At 40.8% G+C, this 12,034-nt stretch overlaps 1 protein-coding gene across 4 annotated transcripts in view; it reads left to right on the top strand.

Annotated features, from left to right (window-relative positions):
* The window catches only part of RAB6A (RAB6A, member RAS oncogene family), an 85,437-nt gene extending 74,078 nt beyond the window's left edge, over positions 1 to 11,359 (top strand). For all 4 annotated transcript variants that reach the window (NM_001243718.2, NM_198896.2, NM_002869.5 and 1 more), the window contains 2 exons: positions 7,277 to 7,343; positions 9,035 to 11,359. In NM_001243718.2, coding sequence (NP_001230647.1) covers positions 7,277 to 7,343; positions 9,035 to 9,099 — 132 coding nt within the window. In that variant the 3' untranslated portion in view covers positions 9,100 to 11,359. The remainder of the gene's footprint in view (positions 1 to 7,276; positions 7,344 to 9,034) is intronic.

Here is a 12,034-nt window from a genome sequence, read left to right as displayed (position 1 = left end):
ATATATTTACATATATAGCACGTGGGTTGTTTCTACCTTTTGGCTATTGTCAATAATGCTGCCATGAACATTGGTGTGCAAATATCTGTTTACTGCTTTCAATTCTTTTGAATATATACTCCCAAGTAGAACTGCTGGACCATATGTTAAGGAATGTTAAAATAGATGTTATGAAGCAGTATATGTATATATATAATGAAAATAGGTAGATATGTGAATATAGCAGTACTTGCCCTGGAATACTTTGTTAGTTATGTACTTTTCACTAAAGAGAACCTATTTTCATTATTTAAAAGTCTGAAAACTTGTAAACCTAATTTTATTCCATTTTCACAAGCTCTACTTAGAAAGTAGCCAAACCTTTCCTATGCCTCCCTCTTGAAAAGATTTTCGGTTTTCAAGCTAGCTGATAATAAACCTGGTTTTTGTTTTGTTTTGTTTTTAGACAGAGTCTCACTCTGTCATCTAGGCTGGAGTGCAGTGGCGCGATCTCTGGGTCACTGCAACCCCCGCCTCCCGGGTTCAAGCGATTTTACTACCTCAGCCTCCTGAATAGCTGGGATTACAGGTGCCTGCCACCACACCCAGCCAATTTTTGTATTTTTAGTAGAGATGGAGTTTCACCATGTTGGCCAAGCTGGTCGAACTCCTGACCTCAAATGATCCCCCCACCTTTGCCTCCCAAAGTCCTGGGATTACAGGCGTGAGCCACTGCACCCAGCCTAAATCTGGTATTCTTAAGAGCCGAAAAGATTATGCATCTTGAATAGGCAAGCAGTTTAATAAATATTTCATGTCAGAAGCAAGTTGTAATATTATGAGGACAATTTCTAGATATTCCTAAGTAAGGAAGTTTCAGCTCTGCTGTAATATTTTTAAAAGGTCTCCCCCAACCCCCACATCTTTCCCACCAGTTTTTTATAGTTCCTTTTTAAAGCAGAATTGAGCCTGTGGGTGTTTTGTTCTAGTCCTAGAATTCACTGCAGAATTGTATAACATTTGGCAAAATTCTCTGTTCCCCAAGCCTGCAGGCCCATGAGTTCATTTATCTCTGATAGAGTTATTGTCTCTGGTAGAAATAAAGCTGCTTTTTTTTTTTTTTTTTTTTTTTGAGACGGAGTTTCACTCTTGTTGCCTGGGCTGGAGTGCAGTGGCATAATCTCGGCTCACTGCAACCTCCACCTCCCCGGTTCAAGCGATTCTCCTGCCTCACCCTCCCAAGTAGCTAGGATTACAGGCATCTGCCACCACACCTGGCTATTTTTTTTTTTTGTATTTTTAATAGAGATGGGGTTTCACCATGTTGGCCCGGCTGGTCTCAAACTCCTGACCTCAGATGATCCACCCGTCTTGGCCTCCCAAAGTCCTGGGATTACAGGCGTGAGGCACCGCACCTGGTCGCTACTTTCAGTCCGGGCGTGGTGGCTCACACTTGTAATCCCAGCACTTTGGGAGGCTGAGGCAGGCGGATCATGAGCTCAGGAGATCGAGACCATCCTGGCTATCACAGTGAAACACCGTCTCTACTAAAATTGCAAAAAATTTGCCGGGTGTGGCACAGGCACCTGTAGTCCCAGCTACTCGGGAGGCTGAGGCAGGAGAACAGCTTGAACCCAGGAGGCAGAGGTTGCAGTGAGCTGAGATCGCGCCACTGCACTCCAGCCTGGGCAACAGAGCGAGACTCCGTCTCAAAAAAAAAAAAAAAAAAAAGACTTTCTATATAGCAGGTCAGTACTAAAACACTTTGCATAATTATTTCCCTTAACTTACACAATAATCTAATCAGGCAAGTATACTATTATTTTAAGCCCATCTTACACATCAGGGAACAGAGGAACGAAGATTACATGATCTGTCACTTAAGTGGCCTACCTAGGGCCCAAGCCCAGGCTGTTAACTACTACACTGTACTGCTATCCACACTTTACCTTTTAGTTTTTTGCTTTTTGCCATTCTGCTTAATACCTTTCAATTTCACTATGTGATTTGTATATCTCTTTAGCCATATTAAGACAATGGAATTATTGATGGAAGTCTGAGAGCAAACTACTATTTTTAGTGGCTTCCTTTACCCACAGGATGTGAGGGAAGGTCTTTCTCAGTCTGGCCTCCAATATGTATATATCCTTATCGTAATTATTTTACATATTCTGTGCTCCAACCAGTCTGGACTACATAAGCATTCTTAAGTATACCTTGTACTTTTCTATCTGTGAACATGTGTTCAGGAAACTCTTCCCTGTGAAATCTTTGCCACTTCTTTTCCTTTGTCCTCATCTCTACTGAAAGAGAAATGTGCTGAATATACATTCTGACTAGATGGCCAGGTGTTAAAATCATTGAGGCCAAAACTGCATACAGGTGTACCTCGGAGATACTGCAGTCTGGCTCTAGATCACTACAATAAAGTGAATATATCAATAAAATGAGTCACATGAATTTTCTGGTTTCCAATGTGTGTGAGTTATGTTTATACTATACTGTACTCTATTAATAGCATTATGTCTGTAAAAACAATGTACATATCTGGCCACACGTGGTGGCTCATGCCTGTAATCACAGCACTTTGGGAGGCCAAGATGCGTGGATCACTTGAGGTCAGGAGTTCGAGACCAGCCTGGCCAGTACAATGAACCCCTGTCTCTACTAAAAATACAAAATTTAGCCAGATGTGGTGGCCGATGCCTGTAATCTCATCTACTCAGGAGGCTGAGGCAGGAGAATCGCTTGAACCTGGGAGGCAGAGGTTGCGGTAAGCCTAGATAGTACCACTGCACTCCAGCCTGGGGGACAGATAGCAAAACTCTGTCTCAGAAAAAAAAAAAAAACAACAATGTATGTATCTTAATTAAAAAATACTTTATTACTAAAAAATGCTAATGATCATCTGATCGTAGCCTTCTGCAAATCATAATGTTTTTGCTGTTGGAAGGTCTTGCCTTGATGTTAATGTCTGCTGACCGATGAGGGTAGTAGTTGCTGAAGGCTAGAGTGGCTGTGGCAATTTCTTAAAATAATACTATTAATACAATGTAGTTTTCTGCATTGATCGATTCTTTTATCACAAATGATTTCTCTGTAGCATGCAATGCTGTTTCATAGTATTTTACCCATAGTAGAACTTCTTTCAAAATTGGCATTTCAGTCCAGTCGCAGTGGCACATGCCTTTAATCTCAGCACTTTGGGAGGCTGAGGCAGGTGGATCACCTGAGGTCAGGAGTTTAAGACTAGCCCGGCCAACATGGTGAAACCCCATCTCTACTAAAAATACAAGAATTAGCCCTGTGTGGTGGCGCACACCTGTGGTACCAGCTACTTGGAAGGATAAGGCAGGAGAATCACTTGAACCCAGGAGGCGGAGGTTGTGGCGAGCTGAGATTGTGCCACTGCACTCCAGCCTAGGTGACAAAGTGAGACTGCATCTAAAAAAAATAGTGCCACCAGGTGCGGTGGTGCATGCCTGTAATCCCAGCACTTTGGGAGGCTGAGGTAGGCAGATCACTTGAGCTCAGGAGTTGGAGACCACCCTGGGTAACATGGCAAAACCTCTTTTCTACAAAAAAAATACAAAAATTAGCCAGGTGTGGTGGCATGCCCCTGTAGTCCCAGCTACTTGGGAGGCTGAGGTGGGAGGATTACTTGAGCCCATGAGGTCGAGACCTCAGGGAGCCATGATTGTGCCACTGCACTCCAGCTTGGGTGACAGAGCAAGACCATATCTCCAAAAAAAAAAAAAAAAAAAAAGATGGGTCTATATCGTTATTATGCAGTGAATTTCTGTATACAAAAATAAAAAATGTATCTGCAAAATGCTGTTAACGTTTGATAGAGTGTCACATTGTCAGGTACTAGATTGTTTCTGTAGTCACTATACTTACTGCCTATTTGTGATAATAAATAGATTGTGATTTTCAAGTTTTCAGCTGATATTGGTGGGAGAACACTTTTGACTCAATTTCTATAAAATATGTTTTCCTTCATACCCTGTATTCTTTATGTCTTGATGAAAGGTGGTTTATTAATGGACATTGGAGTTTTTCCTAATGCATGAAATTTTGAGCTGACAAAGTTTATATTCTGCTTTTAATTCATTGTTTAATGCTCATAAAAAAGATCAGGATTGCCTAACCTTATATTATTAAACTTTTAGAAACCCTTGCTGGTTTAAACGGGGTATAATAGTTCATATCTGTAATCCCAACACTTTGGAATGCCAAGGTGGGAGGATCACTTCAGCCCAGGAGGTCAAGGCTGCAGTGAGCTATGATCATGCCACTGTACTCCAGCCTGGGTGACAGAGCAAGACCCTTCTCAAATAAAGATTTTTTTCTTTGAGATGGAGTCTCGCTCTGTTGCCCAGGGTGGAGTGCAGTGGCACCATCTTGGCTCACTGCATCCTCCACCTCCCGGGTTCAAGCAGTTCTCCTGCCTCAGCTTCCCTAGTTGCTGGGACTGCAGGCATGTGCCATCATGCCCAGCTAATTTTGTGTATTTTTAGTAGAGATGGGGTTTCACTGTGTTAGCCAAGATGGTCTCGATCTCCTGACCTCGTGATCCACCCGCCTCAGCCTCTCAAAGTACTGGGATTACAGGCGTGAGCCACCATGCTCGGCCTACTTATTTTTTTGTTCATAAAATTAACAGCTTTCACAGTCATTAATTGTTGCAGCATTCACTCTTAGAATGTTTTTTGTTTGTTTTTTAAAACAAGGTCTCTCTGTGTTGCCAGTGGTCTCAAACTTCTGGGCTCAATTGCTTGATTTTCCCACCCCAGGCTTCCAAGTAGCTAGGATTACAAGCTCGTGTCGCCACACTCAGCTAGAATATTTATCTATGTTTCAAACCTAATATTCACATATTAATCCAGATGGACCCACCGTATATAATTAATGTTATATTGATTTGACATGATGGTAATTTATACAGCTACATGATCTTTGATGGTGTACCAGAAATGATGTTAAGGTAAGTGTTCCGCAATTCAAAGTCTTACAGCTGATGTGGATTGAATATTGGGGTAAAGCCTAATTTTGGTACATCTCTAAAAAAGCTACTGAACCTTATAGAAACAAGACAATTAGAGTTTTCCCCATTTTCATATCCCTGCACCTACCCTATCAGGCTTTTGTCTACCAGATCAAAATTTTACAATTTGCTCCTTTATACATTTTTTTTGTGTTGTTTTTCCAGACAGAGTCTTGCTCTGTCGCCCAGGCTGCAGTGCAGTGGCAAGATCTTGGTCCACTGCAACCTCCGGCTCCTGGGTTCAAGCGATTCTTCTGCCTCAGCCTCCCGAGTAGCTGGGATTACGGGCATGCGCTACCACGCCTGGCTAATTTTTGTATTCTTAGTAGAGACGGGGTTTCACCATGTTGGCCAGGCTGGTCTCAAACTCGACCTCGTAATCTGCCTTCCTTGGCCTCCCAAAGTGCTGAGATTACAGGCGTGAGCCACCAAGTCTGGCCTGATACATTTTTAAACATATTAGTTGTAGTTCCAGTCTCTTATCTCTGTCCTTCTAGGCATTCTGTTCTTTCTTCGTTTAATTCAGTAATACTTATAGAGCACTTAAACCCTGAGCATTTTATGCATGTATTTCAGCCAAGTGAGGTTTTAAGACTGCCTTTAAATCTCAACTCAGATGTTACCTCCTAAAAGATTTTTTTCAGCCTCCTGAGTTGGACCTTGTTACATCTGTATTCTCAGAGCATTTTAAACTTACTTTGTTTGTAGCATCACATTGTAATATAAAGAATTGTTTGAGTATCTCCTTTACCAGATTTTGAGCTCCTTGAATTAAAAAACTGTTTTTTCTTGTTCATTTCTGTGTCTCAAAGACACAGAATGAGGCTGCCTGATACACTGCCTCAAGTAAGCAAGTACTTGGTACAAAGGAGTTACAGCACATATGCATTTAATTTATGGGTTTACACTGTGTGCTTAATTAAAAGATAAATAATTGAAATAATCAGGCAGTTTCACTGGCTGTTGTACCCAGTGGGTGTATGCCTAAGATTGGGACAATATAAGAAGTATAAACTGTTGTTCCAGTATCTGTTCTCATATGCCTCTCAAAAGTAAACATCTCACCAGGCTTGAGTGCGTTTCTCCTGTTGAAGATAACTTTTCATAGCTTCATACCTCAAACACAAGCCAGCCACTCCCACTGACACTCATTCCAATGATGGAAGAAAAGCCAGCTGTGTTGGACTTGAGGGGTGGTGTATTAATCTCTAACATAGTGCTTTTCTAATGAACGATGAAGGATAATTTTGACTGGACTGAGTTTCACAATATATTATACACTGACTTCAGAACCTAACTCTCCCCCCCACACCCCCGCCAAGAAGAAGTCTTGCTGTGTCGCCCAGGCTGGAATGCAGTGGCGTGATCTTGGCTCACTGCAACCTCCGCCTCCCAGGTTCAAGTGATTCTCCTGCCTCAGTCTCCCAAGTAGCTGGGATTACAGGCATGTGCCACCACACCCAGCTCATTTTTGTATTTTCTGTAGAGACAGGGTTTCACCATGTCCAGGCTGGTCTTGAACTCCTGACCTCGTGATCCACACCCCTTGGCCTCCCAAAGTGCTGGGATTACAGGCGTGAGCCACCGCGTCCAGCCCTGAACCTCACTCTTTATATGAAAGATAGGAATGCTACTATACAGTTTTGTTAAATGAATGATCTGTCCTTTTTCTGCGTTTCTGTAATACTTTATTATTCAAATGACATTTTTGCTGCTTATTTCATAGCTGTTTACTTTTGTCTTATCCCACCAGTTAAAAAAACAGGAATCATGTCTTTATACCTCTTTGTATTTGGTATATTGCTTTTTATATAATACTCGTTTATAGAATGAATAGACATTTTATTTTATTATTTATTTATTTATTTATTTAAAGACAGAGTCTCGCCCTGTTGCCCGGGCTGGAGTGCAGTGGCGTGATCTCAGCTCCCTGCAGCCTCCACTTCCTGAGCTGAAGCAGTCCTCCAGGTTCAGCCTCTCCAGTACCTAGGACTATAGGCGTGTGCCACCACGCCTGGCTAATTTTTGTGTTTTTTTTTGTAGAGACAGAGTTTCACCATGTTGCCCAAGCTGGTCTCAAACTCCTGACCTCAAGTGATCTGCCCACCTCGGGTGGGTCCCAAAGTGCTGGGATTACAGGTGTGAGCCACTGCGCCCAGCATTAGACAGCTCACTGTACAGTGATCATAAACCTCAGTACCCTTTGCTAAATGTTCCCTCTCAGTTATCACTTTTCTCTCTTTCCCACAGCTCTTTCGACGTGTAGCAGCAGCTTTGCCGGGAATGGAAAGCACACAGGACAGAAGCAGAGAAGATAGTATCCTTTTTATTTCATTGGAAATTTTTCATTATTAACACTAGTCTTTAGAGCCCTGCTTGCTTGGCTAAAGAATATTGTGCCATTGCCTTTTACAACCAGGAACTGATGACTTAAAGGCATAGAAATTCATTTGTTTTCTATAGCAAATGAGGTCTGGTTATCCAAGTGCACCCTTTGCAGCCTGCTTCTCGTTGTTAATCAGTGAGAGGTTTTGTGTTTGTTTGCTTGCTTTTAAATGAGCAGGAAACTCTTAGAATCCCTGTGTCCTTGCCTCTTCATTTTGAGTCCCATTGACTCTAGGCTTTTTCCTCATGGAATATCAAATTTTCATTTCTTTTTCTAACACTTGAGCTTTCTACTTGACACAGGCAAGAAATAGAGTGGAGCTTTATTGTAGCCTCTGCTTTCAGAAACAGGACATAATATTAGTTCATTTCCAAGGATTGGGACATCTAATATTAGTTAATTCTAAGGATTTTTAATTTGATGTTTTCAGTGTTTCATATTCACCTTCTAGTGTATTTCCATATGCAGGCATTTTTATTAAGCCATATAGTTTGTAGCACTTTGTATTCAGCTCTTCCCACTTGTAAATGTTATATGTTTTCATAAAAAACATAAAACAGGCCGGGCGCGGTGGCTTATGCCTGTAATCCCAGCACTTTGGGAGGCCAAGGCAGGTGGATCACCTGAGGTCGGGAGTTCAAGACCAGCCTGACCAACATGGAGAAACCTTGTCTCTACTAAAAATAAAAAAATTACCTGGGCGTGATAGTGCACGCCTGTAATCCCAGCTACTAAGGAGGTTGAGGCAGGAGAATTGCTTGAACCCAGGAGGCAGAGGTTGCAGTGAGCCGAGATCACGCCATTGCACTCCAGCCTGGGCAACAGGATCGAAACTCCATTCCCCCCCCAAAAAAAAAAACACAACAACAACATAAAACATAATATGTTTCAAAAACAAAACAACAACAACAACAAAAAATGTTCTATTGAGTTGAAGTATGTCCCCGCGCCCACCGCCGTTTTTTTTTGAGATGGAGTCTCATTCTGTCGCCCAGGCTGGAGTGCAGCAGCGCAATCTCAGCTCACCACAACCTCTGCCTCCTGAATTCAAGTGATTCTCCTGCCTCAGCCTCCCAAGTAGCTGGGAATACAGGCATGAGCCACCATGCCCAGCTAATTTTTATATTTTTAGTAGAGATGGGGTTTCGCCATGTTGGCCAGGCTGGTCTTGAACTCCTGACCTCAGGTGTTCGGCCTGCCTCAACCTCCCAAAGTGTTGGGATTACAGGCATGAGCCACGGCACCCGGCCTGAAGTCCCATTATTTACTAAATGTTTCCTCTGCTGTTGGAACTATCTTGTAGGCTATTTTCAGATTTATATTATAGATGATTCTATGAGGAACATCATCTTCATATCACTTCTTGCCACTGTAGAATAAGTTCCTTAGGATAGATACCCATAAATAGAGCTTGTACCTCATTCTGACCCTTGTTGCATATAGTAGATATAAACAAGTTTATTCCATTTGAGCACCTTATATGGTGAGGCGGCTATGTAGAAAATAGTGAGTGTGTAGGCTCTGAAGACAGATAGGAATATAAGGGCCATCCCAGAAATGCTAGTGTTTGGAAGAATTGAAATTGTACTTTCCCATTTATGGCTTCTTAACTTTTGTTTCAGTGATTGACATAAAACTGGAAAAGCCTCAGGAGCAACCAGTCAGTGAAGGAGGCTGTTCCTGCTAATCTCCCATGTCATCTTCAACCTTCTTCAGAAGCTCACTGCTTTGGCCCCCTTACTCTTTCATTGACTGCAGTGTGAATATTGGCTTGAACCTTTTCCCTTCAGTAATAACGTATTGCAATTCATCATTGCTGCCTGTCTCGTGGAGATGATCTATTAGCTTCACAAGCACAACAAAAGTCAGTGTCTTCATTATTTATATTTTACAAAAAGCCAAAATATTTCAGCATATTCCAGTGATAACTTTAAAAATTAGATACATTTTCTTAACATTTTTTTCTTTTTTAATGTTATGATAATGTACTTCAAAATGATGGAAATCTCAACAGTATGAGTATGGCTTGGTTAACGAGCGGTATGTTCACAGCCTACTTTATCTCTCCTTGCTTTTCTCACCTCTCACTTACCCCCATTCCCTATTACCCTATTCTTACCTAGCCTCCCCCGACTTCCTCAAAACAAACAAGAGATGGCAAAGCAGCAGTTCTACCAAGCCCATTGGAATTATCCTTTAATTTTACAGATACCACTTGCTGTAGGCTACGGACCAAGATGTCCAAAATTATTCTTGAGCACTGATATAAATTACGGTCTTCTTTGAGGTCAAAATTCAGCCATCATGGTAGGCAGTGCTTGAATGAGAAAAGGCTCCTGGTGCATCTTCAAAATGAGTCCTAAAGAACATACTGAGTACTTAGAAGTAGAAGAACATAAGATGTATTTCTGACTAAAACAAATGGCTCTTTCACATGTGCTTTATTAGACTCTGGGAGAGAAAATTAACCAAGTGCTTCAGAACAGGTTTTTAGTATTTAATTCTTCACGGTAAGAAAATGAAGTTCTAATGAACTGTTTCTCCCAAGGTTTTAAAATTGTCAAGAGTTATTCTGTTTGTTTAAAAAATAAGAAACCTCTTTAAGCAATAGATTTTGCTTGGGTTTTCTTTTTTAAAAACATAATACTGTGCAGGCAAGGCACTGTAAAAGTTTTAATTCCTTCCAGAAGAACCAGTGGAAGAATTTAAATTTGGCGCTACGATCAAAACTACTGAATTAGTAGAAATAATGATGTCTAAAGCTTACCAACAAAAGAACCCTCAGCAGAATAACAAAAACTTTGCTCAGGACATTTGAGGTCAAATTGAAGACGGAAACCGGAAACCGTTTTCTTGTAAGCCCCTAGAGGCAGATCAGGTAAAGCATACATAGTAGAGGGAAAGGAGAGAATGGAAATAAAACTCAATATTATGCAGATTTATGCCTTATTTTTTAGCATTTTTTAAGGTTGGGTCTTTCAGGCTGGTTTTGGTTTGTATTAGATCTGTATAGTTTAATTAACTGGTGATTTAGTTTTATATTTAAGCTACAATTAATCTTTTTTCTTTGGTGATATTTATTTCTTTGCCTTTTTTTTTTTTAACAACTTTCAATCTTCAGATGTTTCGTTGAATCTATTTAGAGCTTCACCATGGCAATATGTATTTCCCTTAAAACACTGCAAACAAATATACTAGGAGTGTGCCCTTTTAATCTTTACTAGTTATTGTGAGATTGCTGTGTAAGCTAATAAACACATTTGTAAATACATTGTTTGCAGGACGAAAACTTCTGAGTTACAGCTCAGGAAAAGCCTGCTGAATTTATGTTGTAAGCATTACTTAACACAGTATAAAGATGAAAAGACAACAAAAATATCTTCATACTTCCTCATCCCCTCATTGGAACAAAACCTTAAACTGGGAGAACCTTAGTCCCCTCTCTTTCCTCTTCCTCCTCCACTTCCCACTTATTGTCACCTTGTAATATTCAGAGAGCACTTGGATTATGGATCTGAATAGAGAAATGCTTACAGATAATCATTAGCCCACATACCAGTAACTTATACTTAAAGATGGGATGGAGTTGTAAAGTGCTTTTATAATACAATATAATTGTTAAAGGCAAGGGTTGACTCTTTGTTTTATTTTGACATGGCATGTCCTGAAATAAATATTGATTCAATATGGCAGATGGGTCATATTCTTTATTTGGAAGAAGTTGTGACTTCTGACATGGGTGTGATTGTCTTCCTACACTGTTGCATTTGATTCTTTTTATGTATTTTTAAGAAAGTAACCAGTTATACTGCTTTTAATATTGATTGGTCTTTTTATTTGGCTTGGAGTTCTTCAAAGCATTGAAGTGTGTTCATAGTCCAGGTTTTTTTTTTAATAAACACAATTTTGCTGCCAAAAATATATAAATAAAACACGAAAGAAAACAATTATTGACCTGGTTTCCCATTCCTGCCAAGATGGTGAATTAGCATTTACTTCTCCCTCTCTGGGAAGACCTTTAAAGCAGACATGGACAGAATCCAGAAAAATAACAACAACAAATGTGAGGAACTCCTAGGGAGTCAAAGACTCTTTTTTTGATGGGGGTATTGTTGGGGGGTGGGGGAGAGGGGCTGCAACTTGAAAGATACATCCCCTGGTGGAGGCAGTAATAGGACATATTAAGAAAAGCATCTTAAGTTCTGCTTTTGCGTCCTCACTCCTAACTATACCTTTGCCTTGGGACAGGAGCCAGCAAACTGTGGCCCTCCCACCAAATGCAGCCTGGAACCAGTTTTAAAAATTAAGTTTTATTGGAACTCAGCCATACTTTCCCACTATAATGGCAGAGCTTAATAGCTGCCACAGACCTTATGGCCCTAAAACCCAAAAAACTGTTTACTATCTGGCCCTTTACAGAGAAAAGGGCAACCCCTGCCTTGGGACAACCATAGCTGAACCCCTTACTGTAAAATGAAGGCCACAGGCCAGAATACTAGTGCAGGTGTCTGCAAGAGTAATATTAAGGCAGTACAAAAGCACTAATAAGCCGATGGAAATAAAGGCAAGGCCCTGAAATAAGTTGTGGCTTTGGGGGATGATACTGATACTGAATGGGAGTG

The sequence above is a fragment of the Homo sapiens genome, chromosome 11 (genome assembly GCF_000001405.40).
Source record: "Homo sapiens chromosome 11, GRCh38.p14 Primary Assembly".
Taxonomy (NCBI): domain Eukaryota; kingdom Metazoa; phylum Chordata; class Mammalia; order Primates; family Hominidae; genus Homo; species Homo sapiens.
The sequence above is the reverse complement of the archived record's forward strand: the minus strand, read 5'-3'. Positions and strand labels throughout refer to the sequence as shown.